This window comes from Homo sapiens, chromosome 18 (assembly GCF_000001405.40).
Source record: "Homo sapiens chromosome 18, GRCh38.p14 Primary Assembly".
NCBI lineage: Eukaryota > Metazoa > Chordata > Mammalia > Primates > Hominidae > Homo > Homo sapiens.
Window position 1 is genome coordinate 46,283,196 of NC_000018.10, and position 22,352 is coordinate 46,305,547.

Genomic DNA, 22,352 nt, shown 5'->3' on the forward strand with positions numbered 1-22,352 from the left:
GTGCCTGCCTGCCAGAGAGATGACTGAAGAGCTGAGATGGTGAAATAGGCAGGACTTGGAGACAGATTAGATTAGGTAGGAGTGGGAGAGGAGATGAAGAAATGTCCCTATTTCTGGGCTGGACGAATGAGGTGGTTGTGTCCTGATTTGGGGCACCCTTGCACACCCAGTTCCAGCACCAGGCTCTCTCTGTTCTGTAGACCGAGGCTGGGCCATAGGCATAGTGAGAGGAGCCTGCTGACTCACACTTCCCCCCACCCGACTTCCCAGGAACAATTTGAGTGTTTTGGAGTCATTCGTCATCCCTCGGTTGAAGACAGTGAAGGCCCATCCAGGCAGACTTACTTCTTGTTACTTGAATGTGTCGTGCATGTTCCCACCTCCAGGACTTTGCCCACACCTCCGCCTTTCCTCCCTGTCTACCAGAACCCAGCTGACCATCATCCCCTCCTCCACAACACAACCCTCCTTTAAGGCTCACCGCCTTGAGCCCTCCTGACCTCAGCGATTGTCCTGGAAGTGGGCAGCAGTCATGGATTGCTAGTCAATAGGATGTCAGTCCCTGCACCTGTGGCAACTGAAATATTAAGCTCCTGGAAGCTGAAAAGTGCCTCCCAGGTCTCTGCCCCTCCCAAGATGCCTGGCCTAGTGTTTTGTCAGACAGATGTAGGATGAGGGCCCTGATTGGACTGGGAGGAAAACACAATTCAATTACCAGCCAGGAAGGACTTGTTGAGAATTAGATTATCAGCCCCTGGGGGCTCGGTGGGAGAGAACAAAGGGTGGAAACTTCTCACAGGATTGCCCTCCCTGGGTCTCAGGGCATTGGGTATATCAGTTTCTGTAATGTGGTGCCTCTCCCATCCAGCAAGAGAGGTGGAGACAGCTGGGCTGAGCCCTCTTTGGCCTCTGCCAAATCCCCTCCAGTCAGCTTCTCCCGGTGCCTGGAGGTAGAGGTGAAAGATGACACCAGCACCCACAAGAGGCAGGACCACGGCCAGTGCTCTAGAAAAACCACTTGGCCCCTAAGGACTCCCTTACTGTGTGCCTATGGCCATGTTAGGTGCTGCACAGGACGTGCCAGAAATATTCAGATGGAAGCCTCAGAAATCATAGAAAGCCCCAGAAACAATGCCAGGGTAGAGGAAGTAAGAACTTGGACTTTGGACCCAGATAAACCCAGGTTTGGACCCTGAAATTGTTCACTGTCTAAGGCTCAGTGCAGGAGCCTGAACCTCTCTGAATCAGTTTCTTCATCTGCTAAATGGTCATAATAGCAGCTGTTATTCAAGTGATTAAAACTTTACACACACACATATATATTCAAAAGTATGATACAGTGCTAAGTGATACACGTGATGAAGCATTGTGAAGTCCTTGAGCGTGGTGTCTGGCATAGAGCAAGCTCCCAGTATGTGGCAGCTATTACTACTGCTGTTGTTTCATTCTGGTTCTGAATAATTACCACAATTGCAGGAAGGGAGAGTCCACCGAGTGGTCCTGAATGGCCGGAGAAGGAGACAGGACTTTTAGGATGAGTTCAGAAAGAGAGGAAGGACCAACCAGCCAGAGGGAGCAAAATGTCCCGATTTCCAAAAAGTGAAGAACATGATTCCTGGGATGTAAGCTTAACGACACTCAGTAGCATTCTAGAATTATTAAACAGGTGGTTTGGGAGCACTTTGCGAAGAACTGTGCCCATCCTGGAATTAACTCATTAAAATCATGTCAAATCAAACTCCCAGGGACTTGCGTTATCAAATAATTTTGTTTTCTTTTTCTTTCTTTTCTTCCTTTTTTTTTTTTTTCTTTTTTTGAGATAGGATCTTGCTCTGTCACACAGGCTGGAGTGCAGTGGCACAATCATGGCTCACTGCAGCCTTGCCTTCTTGAGCTCAAGCAATCCTCCAGTGTCAGCCTCCCAAGTAGCTGGAACCATAGGTGCACACCACTATGCCCGGCTAATTTTTTTCTTGTGTGTGTGTGTGCGTGTGTGTGTATTTTGTGTAGAGACAGGGTTTTGCTGTGTTGCCCAGGCTGGTCTCAAACTCCTGGGCTCAGGTGACCCACTTGTCCTCTCAATGTGTTGGGATTACAGGCATGAGCCACCGTGCTCAGCCAATAATTTTTTTTCATTCACGTCACATATTTATTGTCAGCATCATAGGAAATGCAAAGGGTATCATCACAAGGCACTGAACGAAGTCTCCCATGCTCTCTGTGTGGTCATGAGAAAGTGATGTGTGAACAGGGGGATGTCCCGTTAGGCGAAGTCCATGACAGTGGAAGCCAAGGGGCTCTAATCCAGTCACTGGAGGGTCAGAGGAGCACCCTGACCCTCTCTCTGATGGGGAGGGATGGCACATTAGAGAATGTCAGTGGCTCTGGAGGCGCCAGCCATTTAAGAGTGAAAAGCAATAGCAGGACAACAGAGAAGTAACATCATACATGAAATTATTCTTTGTAATAATGGCAGTAATATACATTCATGGTAAGAAATTGGGAAAATACAGAAGATTGTAAAGAAGTAACTAAAAGACACCTACAATTCTAACTGAATGGCATGATTTAATAACACGGCTGACAAGAATTACCGGCAGAGTGGAATTTAGGTAATATAGAAGATGGCAAGGGGTTCAGAATTGTTGAACCTAGAAAAGGGGTCATGCTCTCAGTTTTTGAGGAGTCAACAGGCTGTCAGGAAGAATCTGTAGTCTATCGGGTACCATTCAAGGGGGCATGAGTAGAACACAGAGGCTCAGAGAGGCCAATTTCAGCTCATGGACAATGGGAAGAGCGTTCCAGGAAGAAATTCTCCCTCAGGGGTCAGGCTGCCTTGGGAGGGAGGGGAGTGCCCATTCCTGGGAGTATTCAGTGGAAGCTAGTTCTTGTGTCACTTTCTTCTCTGAATGTTACTGAAGATTCCCTGCCCTTCTCTGGCTCCTTTCAATGCTAAGATTGTATATCTATAGGTGAAGACATGGAGGCAGAAATAAATGTGTTTAGTTATCGCTAAGGGAAATAAACATGATGCAAAACAGTGTGCTCTCAATTTTGTTGGAAGAATATAGTTAAATTCATTGAAAAGAGATGGCAAAGAAGTGAATATTAATGCTTGGACTGTGGGAGATGTTTTCACCTTTGGATTGTTTTGATTTTTCCAACTTTTCTACAGTTGACTTATTTTAAAACCCAGTAATGTATCTGCTACATGTGTGAAGTACTTTCTCTACTGAAACAATAGATTAGGGCAGGGGCAGGAGGGAGTTTTTTTGTAGGTATGTACATAGGGTGGGATGGATTGCAGAGGGCCTTGAAAGTCAGGCAGGACTGTTTAGATTTGAAGGTCACTATAGTGGCAATGAAAATGACTTTATTTGCTAAACCAAACTCAGGACTGATAATCTAACAAACAATAGCATGTTAATGGGGATAAGAGGACAGAATACAGTATTTGAAATTGCAAAACTCTCTGAAAAATCATGTCTTAGCTTGGGTTGCCATAACAGAATACCATAGATTGGGTAGCTTAAATAAAAGAAATTAATTTTCTTACAGTTCTGGAGGCTGGAAAGTCAAGATCAAAGTCCATCAGAGTTCAGGTTCTGGTGAGAGCTCTCCTCCTGGGCTGCAGACGACTACCTTTCCATTTTGTCCCGACTGGTAGAGAGAGGGAACGCCATACTCTCTTCCTTTTCTTATAAGGACACCAATTTCATCATAGGGTCCACACCCTCATGACCCCATCTAAACCTAATTGCCTCTGAAAGTCCCCATCTCTAAATACTATGACCTTGGGGCTTAGGGCTTCAACATATGAATTTCAGGAGGACACACACATTCAGTCCATAACGATCAGTATTACAATTGGGAGCCTCATGGGATTCTTAAGATAGTGACATTCATTTGCTTATTCATTCATTTAGCTTAGTAACATTTATGAAGCCCTAGCTATGTGCTAGACGCTGATGTGCATATGATGTAATTAGGTCTTGTGGGAGCTGAGTATGGGACACCCTGGAAGATGAAAGTTAAATTCATCAGGTCAGTTAGCAGGTCCCTGAAAATCTGGGTGAGGGATCTAAGTCTCAGGAACAGGAGTGGTGAGGATAGGAATTCTGGTGATATTTAAAGAAAGCCTTTGCTTGCTTCGCAGTTGCGCTAAGGGTTCTTTTCATTACCCTGAACAGGGTAGGGTAAACAGTAGGCACTCAACATACATTAGGTAAGTAATGGGAATGTTTCTGTGGGTAGAAGGGCTTGAACTGAACCTCAAATGAAGAATAATTATTAATCAACATTTTGTTGCAATAAACATACCCTGAATTCTTACCGTATGCCAGCTATATTGCTTAATGCTAAAGCTACAAGGAAGAGACGTAGCCATCACCCCAGAGGCATCCACAAAACGACAGTCTGAGAGGAGAGACACAAATGTAAGCAATGAAAGCACTTAGAACAGACTAATGTAATGTGAACTGTGAGCCCAGATAGAGGTACAATTATTCTAGTCTGTAGGGGTCAAGGAAGACACCAGAGAGGAGGTGACATCTGAATTGGGCACACGGAGAATTCTCTGGGATGGTCCATGGGTGGGATGGATGGTGGAAATCATTCCCAGCAGATGGAAAAACAAGGTCTACGATATGGTGGCGAAACGATGGCATGGTCCTTCTCAGTCTACTTTGTGTTTGCATTTATTTCCAGCATTCCTTAAAAGCTGGTTGGGGGCTGGGTGCCTGTAATCCCAGCTCCTTGGGAGGCTGAGGCAGGAGGACTGCTTGAGCCCAGGAGTTTGAGACCACTCTGAGCAACATACGGAGATCTCATCTTTATAAAAAATAAAAAATTAGCCGGGGCATGGTGGCACATACTTGTGGTCCCAGCTACTCAGGAGGCTGAGGTGCGAGGATGGCTTGATCCTGGGATGTTAAGGCTGCAGTGAGCCGTGATCATGCCACTGCACTCCAGCCTGGGCGACAGAGTGAGACTCCGTCTCAAAAAAAAAAAAAAAAAAAAAAGAAACAAAAAACAAAAATGCTGGTTGCACATCTGTAGGGCTGTCAGCCCAACTAATCTTTATCCCTTCTGAAAACTGCTCCATCCCAGTCTACATAATTACAGCAAGAAGAGTTATGAGGACATACCTGTCTGTCAGGCCAGAGTTGACTGGTCCAGGGATGGAATCCTGACCAAACTGGGATGTTCAGAGTCCCTCCAGGGAATTTGGAACTGGGACACTAGATCACTGGCTGGCATCAGTCTCAGTGATCTCTTGCAGTCACTGTAAATTTGAGAGCTGCGGGTCTAATATCCTATCTTGTGAATTGGGCATCAAAGAGGGCCAGGTCCCGGTGAGGAAGAAATGAGATAGGTATGCCAAGAAGGGCCAAGATGAGACATACTGGGAGGGGACTGTCTGCATGTCCTCCAGTGGTCTAGCCCCTGGCTACAGCCCACTTCTGAAGTCCTGTTGTGGGGTCCGTGGGAGATGGACTGAGCAAAAGTGAGGTGAAGGGTAACATGCATTCTCACATCCTGGAGGGTCTGGCAGTAAAGACATCACTGAAACCGTGGCTCTTTTCAGACTCAGGCTATGTACCCACCCAGTGTTAGGGAATTTAACAGTGAAAGAGCACTATGTTTTACATCAGTGTATTTTAGAGAAATACACTATATGAATGTATTTCTAATATGTGTAGGTGTTAAAAGGTGGAGATAAAAACTTTAAGCCAGGGCAGAAAGTAGATAGAGAATAATAAATATGCCATGATGTAATGAATCCTTTCTGCCAAAAGCCACTCATCTGAGATGGCTGAAGGATCAGAAATCCATTTGCCTTGATCAATTACAGGAGCAAAATTCTGACACAGCCTATTTCTCTCTCTCTTTTTTTTTTTAAGGGACGGGGTCTTGCTCTGTTGCCCTGGGTGGAGTGCAGTGGTATGATCATAGCTCAGTGCCGCCTTGTACTCCTGGGCCCAGGCGATCTTCTTGCCTCAACCTCCCCAGTAATATGATGACAGATGCTTACTACAGTGCCTGGCTATTTTTTTTTTTTTAATTCTTAATTCAGACGGGGATCTCACTATATTGCCCATGCTGGTCTCAAACTCTTGGCCTCAAGCAGTTCTCCTGCCTCAGCCTCCCAAAGTGCTGGGATGAGCCACTATGCCTGGCATCATTTCTAAATCTGATTTTAGTTTGTGGATTATGTCTCCTCGTTGACTGGAATGGGGATATCAGGGAAGAGTGAGTGGTATCAGGGAAAACAGATCTCTGGAGCCTTCCCAAATATTTCTTGCTATGCAGCCGCTGTGTTTGCTATCGCCAGGAAAGGTTTTGATGCCTCTCAAGTCACAGCCAGATAACTGAAAGAGAGTCCTGGCATAGGGTTCCTACTCCCCTCCCCACAGCCTAAGAGTTCTGTCTACACACTCCTAGAGCACCATCCTTTCTGGGTCATGGAGTTTATTTCACCATGGTGTCAATTTACTTGTCTGTTCCCTTCACACACTCTTTCTGGCCAGAGCTGTATCCCCAGTGAAAAATGTAGTGCCCAGTACATAACAGGACTTGGTAAGTATTTGTCAAATGAATGAATGCAAAGCAAATTAGTGGGGAGAGAGCGTAGAGTCAAGACCAGTGAGAAGGCAGATGTAGTAATCTTAGAGATCATAGGAGTGTTTAGGGGGTGGGGACAGAATGAAGGGAGAGCACATTTCTACTGAGTAGGTGGCCCTCGAGGCTGCCTGAGTAGGGGCTCACACACCACTCAGTGCCACTGACCACTGAGGAATAGCAGGAAGCAAGTGGCCCAGACACTGACCTGGCACCTTCCCCAGCTGCCTGACCTGCAGACCAGGACAGACAATTTGGGGCATTTTTCATTCCTTATGATCAGACGACTCCTCGAGAGGCATTTAGCAAGAACAGGCCACCCCCAGCTCCCATCGTACCCACTGGCTGATTTGCAGTGTTGCTTTTCTCAGGGAGTCACTCCCCACATCTCCAGGACCCCTCTTTGCTGGGGTCATTCAGAACCTGCCTCTCTGGCTGGGTGCAATGGTTCATGCCTGTAATCCCAACACTTTGGAAGGCTGAGGTGGGAGGATTGCTTGAGGCCAGCAGTTCAAGAACAGCATGGGTGACATAGTGAGACCTTGTCTCTACAAAAAATAAAAAGATGGGTGTGATGGCGCACACTTGTAGTTCTAGCTACTTGGGAGGCGGAGGCGAGAGGATCCCTTGAGCCCAGGAGTTCAAGTTTACGGTGGGCTATGATTGCACCTCTGCACTCCAGTCTGGGCGACAAAGCCAGATCCCATCTCTATTAAAAAGCAAAAGAACCTGCCTCTCTTCTCCCACTGTCCCTCAGAGGCAGCCAGCGGGGGGCCTACATCTGCACACAGGGTCTTCTGCCCGGAGTGCCATCTCCTGGCTGCTCTGAGCCTTCCAGGCCCAGCTCAGTGCCATCGCCTCCAGGAGCTTTTCTCCTCAGAGCACCCTTGCCATACCCGCCGACTCTTGTCACCTTTGGTACCTGCACAGGGATCTGCAGCTCACAGTGTGCTTTCCCAGCCGCTATCTCAAAAAAGGTCTCATCCATGCTCATTTTGCAGCACAGCACACAGGCCTGGGGAGGTCATGTGGCAGAGCTGGACCAGACCCAGGACTCCTGAAGCCAAGTTCATTGAACTTTCCACCCTTAGCACCTTGCTGGACACACTCATCCCCTCCACTAAGAAACACCTAACAATGGAGCCTGGATATTAGTTTCTTAGTCCTTCCTCCACACCACGCCCAGGATGATATTTTGTGCCAGGTGGTCAAGTGGTCAGAATGTTTGCTGAATTGAAGGTGGGAGGCAGAGGTTAAACCCACCTCAGACTGGAGGCTCCCCACCTGGAGAGGTTGCACCAGGAGAGGCCCTAGCACGGTGTGCACATGGCCATCTGGTTTGGTAAATTTGACTAAGATAGTTTTAAATGGCACTGGTTCAGTCCATTGTCCCTTTCCTCTGCTGCCCCCTGTCACACTTCCTCTTATGACAGATGGTGTTGGGGTGGCTCTGGGTATTTGGGGATCTGGCTAAGGGGAAGTGGAGTTGGAGGTACATTGAGTTAGGGTTAAGTGGGGTTCTCTTACGTGGCTCACAGCCACTTCCGTGTATATTTTGCTTCTTGCTAGTCATCCTAGTGTAGAAATGGCTTCTCAGGCGACTCCTGCGGCTCACTACTGACTCCTCCAATGCCATGACATGAAGGCTTAGGGCCAGCAGCTGTTTGCAATATGAGTGTGTCTGGTGAGGCTGGACTGTGGTATATGTGGGTAGTGTTGGAGAAGTAAGGTTTGAAATGAAAGAGCCAGAAGCTGGTCTGGGGAACATTCTTCTGACCATCAAATGCATAACATCAGAAGCTTGGGCTCGTCTCAATGGAAGTACAATCCTATAATGCATACCATACTTTTTTTTTTTTTTTTTTTTTTGAGAAACAGAGTTTCACTCTTGTTGCCCAGGCTGGAGTGCAGTGGCATGATTTTAGCTCACTGCAACCTCCACCTCCCAGGTTCAAGTGATTCTCTTGCCTCAGCCTCCCGAGTAGATGGGATTGCAGGCACCTGCCACCACACTCGGCTAATTTTTTTATTTTTAGTACAGACGAGGTTTCACCATGTTGGCCAGGCTGGTCTCGAGCTCCTGACCTCAGGTGATCCACCCGCCACAGCCTCCCAAAGTGCTGGGATTACAGGCGTGAGCCACCTCGCCTGGTAACAATACTTTGTTTTTTGTTTTTTTTTTAAGTGGGAATCATATGTAATAGAATATATTTCTATTCTGTAATAGAATCAGATTTTTTGGTGTGCAATTTTCTGGCTGATTTGAACAAGAAAACTTGAAATGCCCTCAAATCTTATAGCTCATGTCCAAAAACTGATAGAGGTTTCCCCAACATTAGCAACAACCCTCAACAGTTACATGACAATACCAATAATAATTTGTGAATGTGAATTTTCTAAACTGTCCATAATAAAAACCAAATTTGGATTAACCATGTTAGAGAAAAGACTAAAATATCTTTCTATTTTCTCCATGGAAAAAACATTACAAAATTGTCCCAAGAAGAGCTAATCAAAAGGTATGCAGCCCCTCAAAAAATATACAGGAAAATTTTAATAGAGGTGGATTGGGCTGTTAACTAATAAAAAGGTTGTTTTATTTTTCTGGATTTTGTGATATTTGTGGTAGTTCTCCGCTTTTTAACACTTGTAATTTGTTATGCTTTCTTTTCTCATTCCTAATAAATTGTCGTGTTTGTGCTAATTTTGTATTAGTTATTTGGTGTTATTTTTCTTTTGTTTTCTTTTTTTGAGACAGAATTTCCCTCTTGTTGCCCAGGCTGGAGTAAAATGGCACGATCTTGGCTCACTGCAACCTCTGCCTCCCGGGTTCAAGCAATTCTCCTGCCTCAGCCTCCCAAGTAGCTGGGATTATGCTCGTGTGCCACCATGCCTGGCTAATTTTTTGTATTTTTAGTAGAGACGGGGTTTCTCCATGTTGGTCAGGCTGGTCTCGAACTCCCAACCTCAGGTGATCCGCCCGCCTTGGTCTCCCAAAGTGCTGGGATTACAGGCGTGAGCCATCGCGCCCGGCCTTGGTGTTATTTTTCTTACCTAACCTCCCCCGCCGCCCCCAGTAAACTGCAGACCCATGACTCGGTCACTCTCTTTGGGCCTTGTGTCCTTCCTCCTAGGCAGGGATGGGGCCCTGACCTTGCCTTGAACCCTCTTCCAGGGAGAATTAAAGAGATGATCCTGTTAATTGTTCGGTCGTCCCTGACACCTGCAGAGGCAAAAGCACGTGGCTTTATTTGATCCTTACTGCAAACCATTAGGGAAAAACTCCATGTTTTCATTGTGGCAGTGTTTGAATGTATGCAAAAGGAGGTGAATACCCGCGGCACACGGTGCGGGATGGGCTTGGTGAGGTTCCCTGGCACTGGGCTCCGGAATGGCAGGGCCAGACGTATAATCTCTGCAGTTTGACTCCTCTCTCCATGCTGTCCCCACACTTCATGGCACATGACATGTGTAATTATGTGGTGACATCTGCATCCTTCCGCCTGGCTTAGAAACAGGCAGCACCTCTGATCCTCAGGGTGGGGGCAGGAAGCCAGTGGCAGCTGGGGGGCTGTCTGCAGCCGAGCTGATGGGATGCTTCTGAGCATGGAGAGGACTGAGGCTGTGTCTCCCTGGGGTCTGATGGGCACAGATCCCTGGACAGCAAATCTCTGGGCAAGGGGACAGCATCAGAAACATTTGGAGAGCTTTTCTTATATATGTGCTGTGTACCTTATCCCAACCTATTCTAATACCAGCAGGGATAGGGAGAAGACAGGTGCATTTTGGAAAATTTCCCAGGCAAATCTGATACCCATCCATTCTCAGAGTGAGAACCACAGCCCAAGGGGCTCATGGGAGTAACAAGTTCGTGGGGACCCAGATCTGCTCACGGCTGAAGGTAACCACCTGCTCCTAGGGGAGCGTGGAGTCAGGGCTGTGTATACAGCCAGGGCTGGGAAGCCAGACTTCCCTGGTCCACCTCCTCAGGAGCTATTTGACCTTGGGCAAGTCACTTGACCCTGAAGTCCTCTGCCTGCTTATCTACAAAATGGAAATCACGGAAGCCCTTACCTCAGGTGAGATAACTCACTTAGCACAGAATCTGACACACCACACTCAAGAATGTTAGCCACTGCTGTTATTTCCAATGGTGACATCAGACAAGGGTGAAGGGGAAGGAATATTCTCTGCTCTGGGGCTCAAGCGAGCTGCAGACTCTTCTCCCTCCTTCACAGGCGAGATGCCAATGGCTAGAGGCTCCTCCGGAAATCCAGCCCAGCCAGATCTCCTTTCAGGCTGGAGCTGGGACCACCCTCCTTTGTCTGAAGCTGGGGAAACTGGTTTGGGGAACCGGAGAGTCTCTAGTGTCACCCGCGCTCTGTCTCTTCTGGGGGCTGTTCTCAGTGAGGGGAGAGCCATACAGACAGGCATTCCTTTTCAGCATGAACAGGTGGGAAGCCTGGAACCAGAGAAGGATGCTGGGGGGCTGGGGGTGGGTTTGGCAGGGCTGTGAAGGAGGCACATTCACAGACTCCCCAGAATCCCCTCTTCCCTCTTTTTTGGCAGCCCTGATCCCCAAGGTGTGCAGGCACTCACACTACGAAAGCGCCCTCCATGCAGGGGAAAAGGGCTCAGTCAACCACACCCATTAAGTGTCGCATTTAAGATGGGGCAATACCTTGTAGTGATTTTGCAACTGGCACCAGAGCCCTTTCTTCAAATGTTCCTTACTCAAGTGCTCAGACTGGAAAGAGACTGGGAGCTTGGCATCATCCCTGCCACACACACAGCAGTCCCAGGGGTACCCCTTGGGTCCCTGGGGCTAGGGAAGCATGACCAAACAGCAAAGGAGAGATGATTGCCAGGGAGTCTCAGCCACAAGAGCCTCTGAGGCCCATCCACTCCCTGTCCCCTTCCCCTGGGAGCCAACCGCCCCCCACCCCCCACTCCTGGAGCCAAGAAAGGCAGAGTCAGCACTTGAACTCAGAACCCTGTCACCAGATTTCTGTTGCGCCCTTGGTGGTGGGGACTGAGGGGGAGCCTTCTCGTCTGCCCATCCTGCCAGGCTGGCTGCAGGCCTGAGGACCCACTCCGGTGTTTGAGCATGGACCGTGTGCCAGACCCTTCCTGCCCCAAACCTGAGGTCTCCAGCCCTTGTCTGGGGGTTTTCTGTTTCCTGGTCCTGGGAGCTTGCAGGAAGGGGACAGAAATGAAGATCTAACCCCACCTATTCCCAACACTCTTGCCTCCCTGCGCCAGGGATTAGGGATGAGAGCACTTTAGAGTCAGGGTCCCCAGAGCCCAACTGGGCTGATGAGATGAACTGTCACTCCATATTATCCCTCCTGTCCCTACCATCACTCCCTCCTGTACCCTGAAATGCTACTGGAGGTCCCACACTCTCTGCTGTGTTTGCCGCGGCCACCACCCCCAACAAACAAATCCCTCTGAAATTGATCCAGCCAGGCTACTGGGCAGCCCCTGGCTGGACACATGAGAACCACAGCATGCATTTTATAAATGTGACCAAGGAGGAAGGCCCTGCTGGAGCAGGGCAGAAGGGGCTCTAGTGTTGAAGGCCTCTGGTGCTGCCCTCTGAGTTAACTCAACCCCCAGGTCCTCACACATCCCGTGTCCTGGACACCAGCCTCCCTGTTCTATCCTCGGATCCATCTGATGCCAAAGCCAGTGTTCCTTCCTCCCCACACACAGCAGTCAGAAGTAACAGATTTGATGTACGCACGGCCAAATGGAGGAGCTTAAAACAGAGCCGAGAGAAGAAAGTCAGCGTGAGATGCACAACACAACCCATTTACATTAATTAAAATAAATGTGCCCCAAACGAGGATGTGCATGTATAAAAACATGAAGTCTGTTAGCAAGGTGCCCCATGGAGCAGACAGGAAGAGAGTAGGGAGTGGGGTCAACAAGAAATCAGAGAACAAAGAGAGAGAGGGAGTGAGAGAGAGAGGGAGAGGAAAAAGGAAGAAAAATGAAAGCAAGCAAACTCTTTAAGCCACTTCTGAATGTTTCCTCTGGGAATAAAATTTGGATTTATTTAACATATATATATATTTTTTTCACATAAAATAAAGCCTATACGATTTTCAAAAATGGAAAATTGTTTTGGTCAGTGTTTTTTGTTTGTTTGTTTTGAGATAGGGTCTCTCACTCTGTCGTCCAGGCTGGAGTGTAGTAACACAATCACAACTCAATGCAGCCTCAAATTCCTGGGCTCAAGTGATCCTCCCGCCTCAGCTTCTGGAGTTGCTGGGACAGGCGTGCGCCACCACATTCAGCTAATATTTTATATTTTTGTAGAGTTGGGGGTCTCGCTGTGTCGCCCAGGTTGGTCTCAAACTCCTGGCCTCAAGTGATTCTCCTGCCTCGGCCTACCAAATCTCTCGGACTATAGGCATGAGCCATACCACACCAGGTCTTAGTTAGGCATTTTTTAAAAGCAGACGTGTGTGTGTGTGTGTGTGTGTGTGTGTGTGTGTGTGTGTGTGTGTGTGTGTGTTTCTTTTTCCTGAAGGCTGTTTCATGGCTTGCAGGGCAAAGGGCAAAGGACTGATAGAATGTTCTCTTTAAAACGTGGTAGAAACAAAGAAAAGAAGTCCCTCTGTGCATAGGAAGGGACAGGTGTGTCTGAGCTGATCCCATGCCATTACAGTGGCCGCACTGCCCCTGTATCAAGGCCACCTGCAAGTGGAATCAGAGAGAGTCAGAATTTGACCATGTGAAGGTACGAGACGATTCCAGGGTGATACCTGAACTAGAAAAAGAAAAAAAGAGGATGGAGAATTACACACACTCTGCACTGGAGAGTTACTCTCCAATGAAGAAGAGGAGCCCCATAGACTAAATGACTCCAGAACGTTTCACAAAGCAAGCATGAACCAAATAAGTGAGCCCTCACTGAGGTCTTGCATGGTGGGTTGTGGTCAGAGACTGCCAATCCAGGAGGCTTCCTGAAGGAGGCGAGCACCAGAAGCCAGAAGCACCAAGCCAGAGGCTGAGCAGGCTGGGCAGGAGTGCTGTGCACTCTGGAAGCAGGGGTAGCTGGTTTGGACCCCTTCATCTGCAAGAGGGCATGCGAGACCTCCTGCGTACACTCCTTTGATTGGTCTCTCTGAGTACCTTTGAAAGGGGCATGAGTCTGAACCTGGAGCTGGGCATTGTTCTTCATGCCCTGTGGAGGAGGCTCCTCTAGGGGCAAGTGTGGTGGGCAGGCTGGAGTCTCCTCCTGAGCCAGCCAGTTCCCATGTGTGTGTTTGTGTGTGTGTGTGTGTGTGTGTGTGTGTGCATGCACAGGCAAGCACCTGTGTACACATAGCCATGAGGGAAGGGGTGGTTAGGGCCCAAATTTACCCAGTGAAGAAAGCCCAAGGTTGCAGTTTTTGTCACCAGGAAATATGGAGGTGCAGGCCAGCAAACCTCTTGGAGGACCCAAGAGAGCAGGCTCAGGTTTATAGAAGCCATGGTCAGCAGGGGAGGGGCCTGAGGCCTGTCACTTGGCAGGACCCATTAAAGAGAAAAGGGCTCAGGGCCCCAAGTACGTGGAGGAGTGGCCACCACCTCCAGGAGCATGAGTGGAAATGATGTGTGTCCCTGGTGGGAATTTGTGGGCTGGGTTTTATTTATTTACTTATTGACAAATAAAAATTGCATATATTTATGCTATACAGCATGATGTTTTGAAATATGTAAACATTGTGGAATGGCTAAATCACACTTATTAATATATGTATTACCACATGCACTTATCATTTTTGTGTATGTGGTGAGAACACTTAAAATTTACTTCCTTAGCCATTTTCAAGTGTCCAGCATTTTATTAACTATAGTCACCCTGTTGTACAATAGCTCTCTTGAATGTATTTCTCCTCCTAACTGAAATTTCATATCCTTTGATAGACATCTCTCTAATCCCGCCCCCTCCCCACCCCAGGCTGGGGCTTTTAAGAAGTGGGTGTGCCTCCTCTAAGTTTTCTTTCCACTGCACAGTTGCAGACCACAAGGCCTTAGGCCAGGGTTGGTGGAACCACAGAAGAGAATGAGCTTGGGTGCCTGAATCATCACAAGGAAGACAGCTGCCCCCTGACGGGACTTGGACTGTGCCTTGGACTCGGACAGGAGAAATAGATTTCTACTGTGTTCAAGCCTCTCTGCATCTAGGGCCTGGTTATCTCAGCTGTTTACCTGCCCTAATACTCAGCATTCCCAGGCTTGTACCTGCACACATCATTACCCCTGTTGAGTCTGTCCCTGCTTAGGCCTCCATAGTTGCTGGACTCCTCCATCCATCCACCCATCTACCCATTCATCCTACAAATGCTGTTGACTTTTTTTGGATGTGCACACTGTGCCGGGTGCAGGACTCATGTCTTCCTGTGTTGCTCACACTCTTCACTGCCTCTTCAGCTTCTCTGAATCCCCCTCAATTTTCCCAGTCTACTTCAGACCCGCTGCCTGCTCAGAAGCCCTCCCTGAGCACTGCAGGCCAGGCCTTTGACAGCTTGATCCCTCACAGACTGGCCAGTCCATGAACCCATTCCTGGATTCTTTCCTGGGGGGAAAAATGGGGGAGACAGGGATGTGGATCCTCCCAGACTGGGATAGTAAAAGTCCCAGGTCGCAGAGAGAAGGTGAAGGCTAATTTTAGCTACAAACCCACGGATTTCAGGCACGTGGAGGAAACAGGACCTCTTGGTAATGGATTACATTTCTCCTGGGTATGAGCCTCTATGTACTCTCTCACTCTTCTCTTGGACACACAGGCATGCGTGTGTGCACGCACGTCTTCAGACCCACAAACAAGATAGTGAGGCCAGTTGTGCCTGAAACAGCTGAGAAGTTGGGTCCTCACCCACGTGGGTAAGTGAGAGTTGCTGCGGCAGCTGGCAGACCTTGGTGGACCACACACCAGGCAGAGCTGGGACTCCAGGGAAGGATACTGGGGTGACCCTGGAGGAGGTCTAGGTGGGAGAGTCTGAGCTCAGTTCCAAGCCTGGGTGTCAAAGGTGCTGGAGAGAGTCATGGAGCGGGGCTCTGGCCTTTCCCCACTGGGTCTATTTGCCTTTCCATGTTTTGTAGTTTTGATAGTTAGCTTTCTACAGGTCACCTCCTCCATGAAGCCTTCCTGAATTCTATCAGGCAGAGAATTCCCTCCCACCTTTTTCATGCCCCTATTACAACCCTGAGGTAGTGGTGTCATAGTTTATCTTTCTTTCTAAACTATGGCTGTCCCAGACCCAGGACTCCTAGTACCCAGTATGGCACCTGGCACAGAGAAGGCACGCAATACACAGTAATAATAAAATGAGCTGTCCCTAACAAGTGAAGAATATGGACAAACTGAAGGAAAACAGACTTAAAATCCTATAAGAAAATGTAAAAAGATAGGAACAGACAATTCACACACATAAAAGATACAAAAATAGCCCTTAAACAAAGAAGAAGATGTTCAGCTTCACTCATATTAAGAGAAATGCTAATTAAAAGTCACTCATCAGATAGGCAGAAATGCAATCGCTTGACAATCCACGCTGCTGAGAGCGGTGGGGAGACAGGTCCTCTTAGACATTCATTGCTGGTGGAAATGAAAAATGGCAAAATCCCATGAAAAATAATTTGTCGACATCTGAGAAAACTACATAGACATTTACCTTTCCACTCAGTAACCCCCTTCTAGGAATTTACCCTGAAGACACATCTCAACAGTATGAAAATACGTAAGTACACATGCTCACGGCAGCATTATTTGTAATGGCAAAAATATAGGAAATTACCTAAATGTCAGAGCATAAGAGATGAGTTGAATAAACTAGGAGACAGCCACACAGCGGGGTGCTGTCCAGCCATAAGAATGACCGGGGAAGATCTCTGAACAGATACGGAGTGATTTTCAGGAAATGTTATGTGAAAACAGCAAAATGCAAAGAGAATATGTAGCATATTGTCTTTTATGTAAGAAATACAGGAAATAAGAAAAATTGTATATGTCAGCTAATTTGTTTTCCAAAAAGAAGCACAGGAAAGACAAACTAGAAACAAATAAAATTGATTATCTTTGAAGGGTGAGGTGGGGGACGAAGACTGGAGAGGAGTTTGTGACAGTGATGCTTCTCTGAGTAGTTTCCATTTTTAGATTATATAAATATTATATATATTAAAAAACGAATAGTAAATCAACAAGGATGTGGCAAACCCTAAAATTGAGTTTAAATGGAAACAAATGAATCCAAATGTATTTCAAATGACTAAAATAACCACAGTAAAGGGGAAAAAAAGGAAACCAAGTAATTCTTTTTGTTGTTTGGTTTTTTGTTGTTGTTTTTTGTTGTTGTTGTTTGTTTCTGAGACAGGGTCTCACTCACTCCATCACCCAGGCTGGAGTGCAGTGGCATGATCTCGGCTCACTGCAACCTCCACCTCCCAGGCTCAAGTGATCCTCCTACCTCAGCCTACCAAGTAGTTGGGATTACAGGTGTGCACCACCATCCCCAGCTAACTTTTTTTTTTTTTTGTAGAGATGAGGTTTCACCATGTTGTCCAGGCTGGTCTTGAACTCCTGGGCTCAAGCGATCCTCCTGCCTCGGCCTTCCAAAGGGTTGGGATTACAGGCATGAGCCATTGCACCCAGCCCCAAGTAATTTTTGAACACAGTACTTTGATCACATACCCTCAGTCTGCAGACAAAAAGAGTCAAAAGCAAGTCTTGATCTCTTAGGAGGCTTGTTTTTTGCAGTATAGTAAGAACATTATTGGGATAATTGACAAAACTGGAATATGGATTTCAGATTAGGAAAAAATAATTGTATCAATGTGACAAATGTAAATTATGTTTATAGTATATTAAACACTGGTTATGCAGAAGAATATTCTTGTTCTTAGGAAATACATGCTAAAGTAGTAGTGCAACTTTTCTGTTTGAAATTATTTCAAAATAAAAGTTAAAAAAAATAAGATCCCTCATGTATTGTGCACTTAACTGTGCATTGGACATTGCCAGTACCCTGCATCTGTTGTCTCATTTAATCCTCACAACACTCTGAAACCAGAACTTCGTCATTCCCATTTTACTAATGAGGAAACTGAGGCTCAGTGAGGGTAATTACTGGTTGTATCTGCCAGTGATCTTGGGATAATTTGAAGCCAGGTCTGCCTGACCCTAAAATCTTTTGTCCTTACCCACTGCCTCTACCAAAAGGTTGAATGAATGAATGAATGAATGAATGAATGAATGAATGACTAAGGGACCCAAATAGCACTTTGTCATTTCTCCCTAGCCATGCCATGGGACTTTCTCTACTCTGTGCCTTGGTTTTCGTATCTTTACAATAACTCCCTGCCTCACCAGTGTGTGTGCCATCTGCTAGTGCGGTGATGGTGGTGAGTGTGGCTTGGCAAACAGAAGAGCTGTTCTCCACGCGTTCCAGGGGCTGTAGCTTGGCCAGGGGGAGGGCACAAGGGAGCCTGCAGACAGAACAAGGACTTTCACTAGGAGTGGGGAGCAGCAGGAGATGCCGCACACACACAAAGTGGCAAGTGGGGCTCACTCACCCTGGCCAGCAGGTGTGTGGGGGAGATGGCGGACAGGATGACATTGAAGAAGTGACTGGGTTGCTGTTGAGCAGAGGGGGACACTTCTTACTATAACTCCTGACCTCCTTCAGGCCCCCCGCCAAGGAGATGTCAACCCTGTTCAGGGAGAAACTGTCTCCATGTGTCCTGATTGGTTTATTTCTTCTTGGAGTCAGATGCAGGCAGGAATTGTTCAGCTCATTCCTCAGCGGAATGAAAGAGACAGGTGGGCTGGTCCCAGGTGCTCAGATACCTTCCAGTACACCTGGAGGGCTGTAGGACAAATGCCCTGTGGGCGAGAGCAGGTGGGGCTCATGTTCAAACCCAGGGATGTTCACGTGTGATGTTGTATCTGCAGAACCGCCATCAGCAAAACAATAAAGAAAAGGTGCTCTGATCTAAGCCCAGGGAGAGGGGGTGTTGGACGCCTCCCCATCCCCTGTCCCCCGGAGGGCGGCTGCTCAGCCCAGGAGAGCAGAATGAAAACCATGCCCCGGTCGGCCAGTAAAAGTCTTCATTCTCCCCTGCTGCCTCCCAGCTGCTCCACCCACCATGAGGCTGGCCCAGGCATTCCATTAGTTTGGTTTCCCCTCGACCACCACAGGAGTAGGGCGTTTGGACATACATCCTAATATTTGCCCCAGTGTATCATCTCTGCAGCTAGACTTGGGGGCTTCCTCCTGGAAGATGCCAGGAGATGATAGGGAGGGGTTGAGGGAGACCCCCACTAATGATCTATGATCCGGGGAAGAATGTCTGTAGTCGTCCTGAGATGGAGGTGGACTACCCAGCTGACCAGAAATAGGTCCACCCGCCAGACCTCTTGCAGACCCCCCTTCAACCAGCACCGGGCAAAGGAGCATGTTCCTTGTTCTCCACTCTCTGTGGAGTGGGTAGAAGGTGAGACAGCTGCATGGGGAGGGTACATGAGATCCTGAGTATGGTCCATGAGTGATTCCCATCCTGTTCCCTCAGGTCCGGTCCTGACCCATCCCATCCCCTCCCATTCATTCAACCCCATCGCACCCCATCCCACCCCGCCCCACTCTGCCCCATCCCATTCCCATCCCACCCCATCATCTTTAGCTCCCCGGGAGCACTTCCACTAGCTTTTTCAGCTTCTTCAATCCCCACCCTCTAAGGAAACCAAACCTGAATTGAAACTAAGAGGAAACTTAACAAAAGTTTGCAAAAGAGAAAGGCAGCCTCTGAGAGGCTGAGCTGGCCGGCCCTCCTCCTTGAACAGAAACAATGACAAAGAACAACAATGTCAAACAAGGCTGCTTTGTGACCGTGACAGACCACGACAGAAATAAGACCCCTCCACACGAGCACAGACAAAAACAAGAATACTAGCTGAACCACAGAAATAAACCAACATCTGCCTCCCCCAGCCGATGGGAGGGGCTACGGCTTCTTTACCCAATACAGCGTTAGCACTGCTTCATTCCTCCGCTTCTAGGTCAGAATCCTAAAGATACTCTAATGTCCTCGATCATAGAATTCTCCTGCTCCCTGACTGCAACCAGTGGAGAGGAAATCCCCACTTCTCCGAACCCTTCCCAAAGTCACCAAAGAAACACAAACCCTGCAACTTCCTTCTAACACAACCCTCCAACCGGGATGCGCCATAGCTCCCCAGGGGTGTGGTCTCCCCCGTCACAGCTGCATCAATAGATGTAGCTCTGGTTGGCTGCAGGTGTCTTTCCAGCGGTCCCTGACTGATGGCATCAGCTGGCTCAAGGGTGCTCATCATGAGAGCAAGTGTCTTTCATACAGCGCACCAAGTCAGGAGCCCTTCCTTCCAGCCTCCAGTCATGTCTCTGCCACCAGCTACATGACCTTGAGCAGGTCCTTAACCTGGGAGTCTCGGCATCTCCGGCTGCAAAATGGAGCAAGACTTGCCTTGCTACCACTCCCGGAAAGGGAGGATGGTGTGAGACACTGCCTGTGAAGGTGGCTAGGAGGAGTCTGACCCTTGCACAGGGTCACCGTGGAATTTGCTTTCAACTTCTGAGAGTGAAAAGAGACATTATTGATAACTACAGTGAGGCACAGGTATAAACCAGGCCTCTCCCCAGCAAAATGAGAGGAAAGGTGACCCGCCTCAGAGGAGCTATGGGAAATGAAGGCAGAGAGGGTGTGAGGTGCCTCTGGGAGTTGATGAGTGTAGTGGGGTGAATGAGGGCCCCCCAGAAGACATGCACATGTCCTAGCCCTCAGAACCTGTGAATGTGACCTTATCTGAAAAAAGGGTCTTTCCAGATGTAATTAAATTAAGCATCTTGAGATGAGTCATCCTGGATTACCTAGGTGGTCCCTAAATCCAATGACAAGTGTCTTTATGGAAACAGAAGAGGAGAGAAAACCCAGGGCACAGAGAAGCCAGGGGAAGATGGAGGCAGGCACTGGAGTGCTGTGGCCACAAGCCAAGGAAGCCTGGAGCCACCACGAGCTGGAAGAGATGGGAAGGATTCTCTCCTAGATCCTTTGGAGGAAGTCCAGTCCTGCTGACATCCTGATTCTGGACTTCTGTCTTCCAGAATTGTGAGAGGATAACTTTTTGTTGTTTTAAACATCAAGTTTGTGGTGATTTGTTACGGCAGCCCTGGAAAACAAACCCAGTGGGCAGGGGGGCCTTTAAAGACACCCTCCCTGGATGCTCTGTCCCTCCCAGGGACTCTCTCTGGAATTGCATTATTCAGTTGCAACAGAGGTCACCCGCTACCTCCCACCTCCTGGCCCGGGTTTCAGCCTTGCCCAGGGAGGAGGTAGGGCTCCAGGCCTGCAAGCATCTCTCCCAGAGTGCTGAGCCCCAGATTCACACCTTGCTCCAGCTGTGGGGAGGGGGCAGCTGTCTAAGCAGCTGAGGATCTGAGGATTGCTCTTGTGTGGCAGAGAAAGAGCCTAATCCACTATGTTTTAGGGGCATCTGGCCAGGCTCTGGCCCAGGACTGGAGAAGCTGTGGGAAGTAGGTCCGCAGGTCTGCCCAGGAGCCAAATGAAAGCAGGGGTCAGGGGAAGGAGCAGCGGAAGGTGGTGAAGTCAGAGGCCTGTAACCTCCCCTTTCTTTCTTTCTTTTTTCTTTTTTTTTTTTTTTTTGAGACAGGATCTCTGTCACCCAGGCTGGAGTGCAGTAGCAAAATCTCAGCCCACTGCAACCTCTGCCTCCTGGGCTCAAGCAATCCTCCCGCCTCAGCCTCCTAAATAACTGGGACTACAGGTGCTTGCCACCATGCCCAGCTAATTTTTGTATTTTTGGTAGAGATAGGGTTTTGCCATGTTGGCTAGGCTGGTCTCGAACTCCTGAACTCAAGCAATCTAACTGCCTTGGCCTCCCAAAGTGTTGGGATTACAGGCGTGAGCCATTGTGCCTGGCCACCTCCCCTATTATTACTTTTAAGAGGATCTAATAAACTGGCTTATGCCTAGACCTGATTACAGCACTTCCTCTCCCCGGGGATGGGGGCAGGAGGCAATGCCGGAAACGATGCCTCAAATTTAGGGTGGAATTTTGGGTATTACACAGTGTTCCTCCCTCCCCTTTCCCCATCATACTCATCATGCTCATCACACTTTTGAACTAAGGTCCAAAATTCCTTCATGGATGCAGATAAGATCTGTCATATCCTGCAGTATCTTTTAATATGAAAATCCCTGAGATAGAAGCACCTGGGGCCCCTGTATGGATTCCCTGATGGAGGCAGAAGGTCCCTGGAAGGGAAAGACAGGAAAAGAGAGAAGGCATCCAAAGGGAAATTCCGTTTTCTCCCGTATTTCAACCTGGGCCATGCCTGGTGCCAAGGCTGCAGGAAAAGTTAGCAATGATGGGAAATGATGGGATTTGCATTTCCATTTCTAGTGGTTTCCTCCTTTCTCCACCCATTTTCCAGCCTTGCTCTTCTAAATTACCTCCTGTTTTCCCCAAAGCTAGAGCTCTGGAGCTGGGCTGCTCAGAGAATGTCAATTACAGTCTCCATTTTGAGGAAATTTACAATGGGAAAGGCTAGAAGGAAACATTTAATTTAAAAAACTTTTACATATAAGCATTTACTCTTTGTGGTGTATCGTTTTAAGGGTTTTGGCCAGTGCATACAGTCATATACTTACCACCAGTGGCCCGACACAGTTCCATCACCCCA

General features: G+C 48.0%; 1 annotated feature.

The window, feature by feature from the left end:
- Positions 11,285-11,786: an enhancer, noted in NCBI's record as "H3K4me1 hESC enhancer chr18:43874443-43874944 (GRCh37/hg19 assembly coordinates)". NCBI's record gives its function as "activates a minimal SCP1, AML or CMV promoter by ChIP-STARR-seq in naive H9 embryonic stem cells {active_cell/tissue: H9 hESC(naive)}" and the evidence as "EXISTENCE:reporter gene assay evidence [ECO:0000049][PMID:30033119]".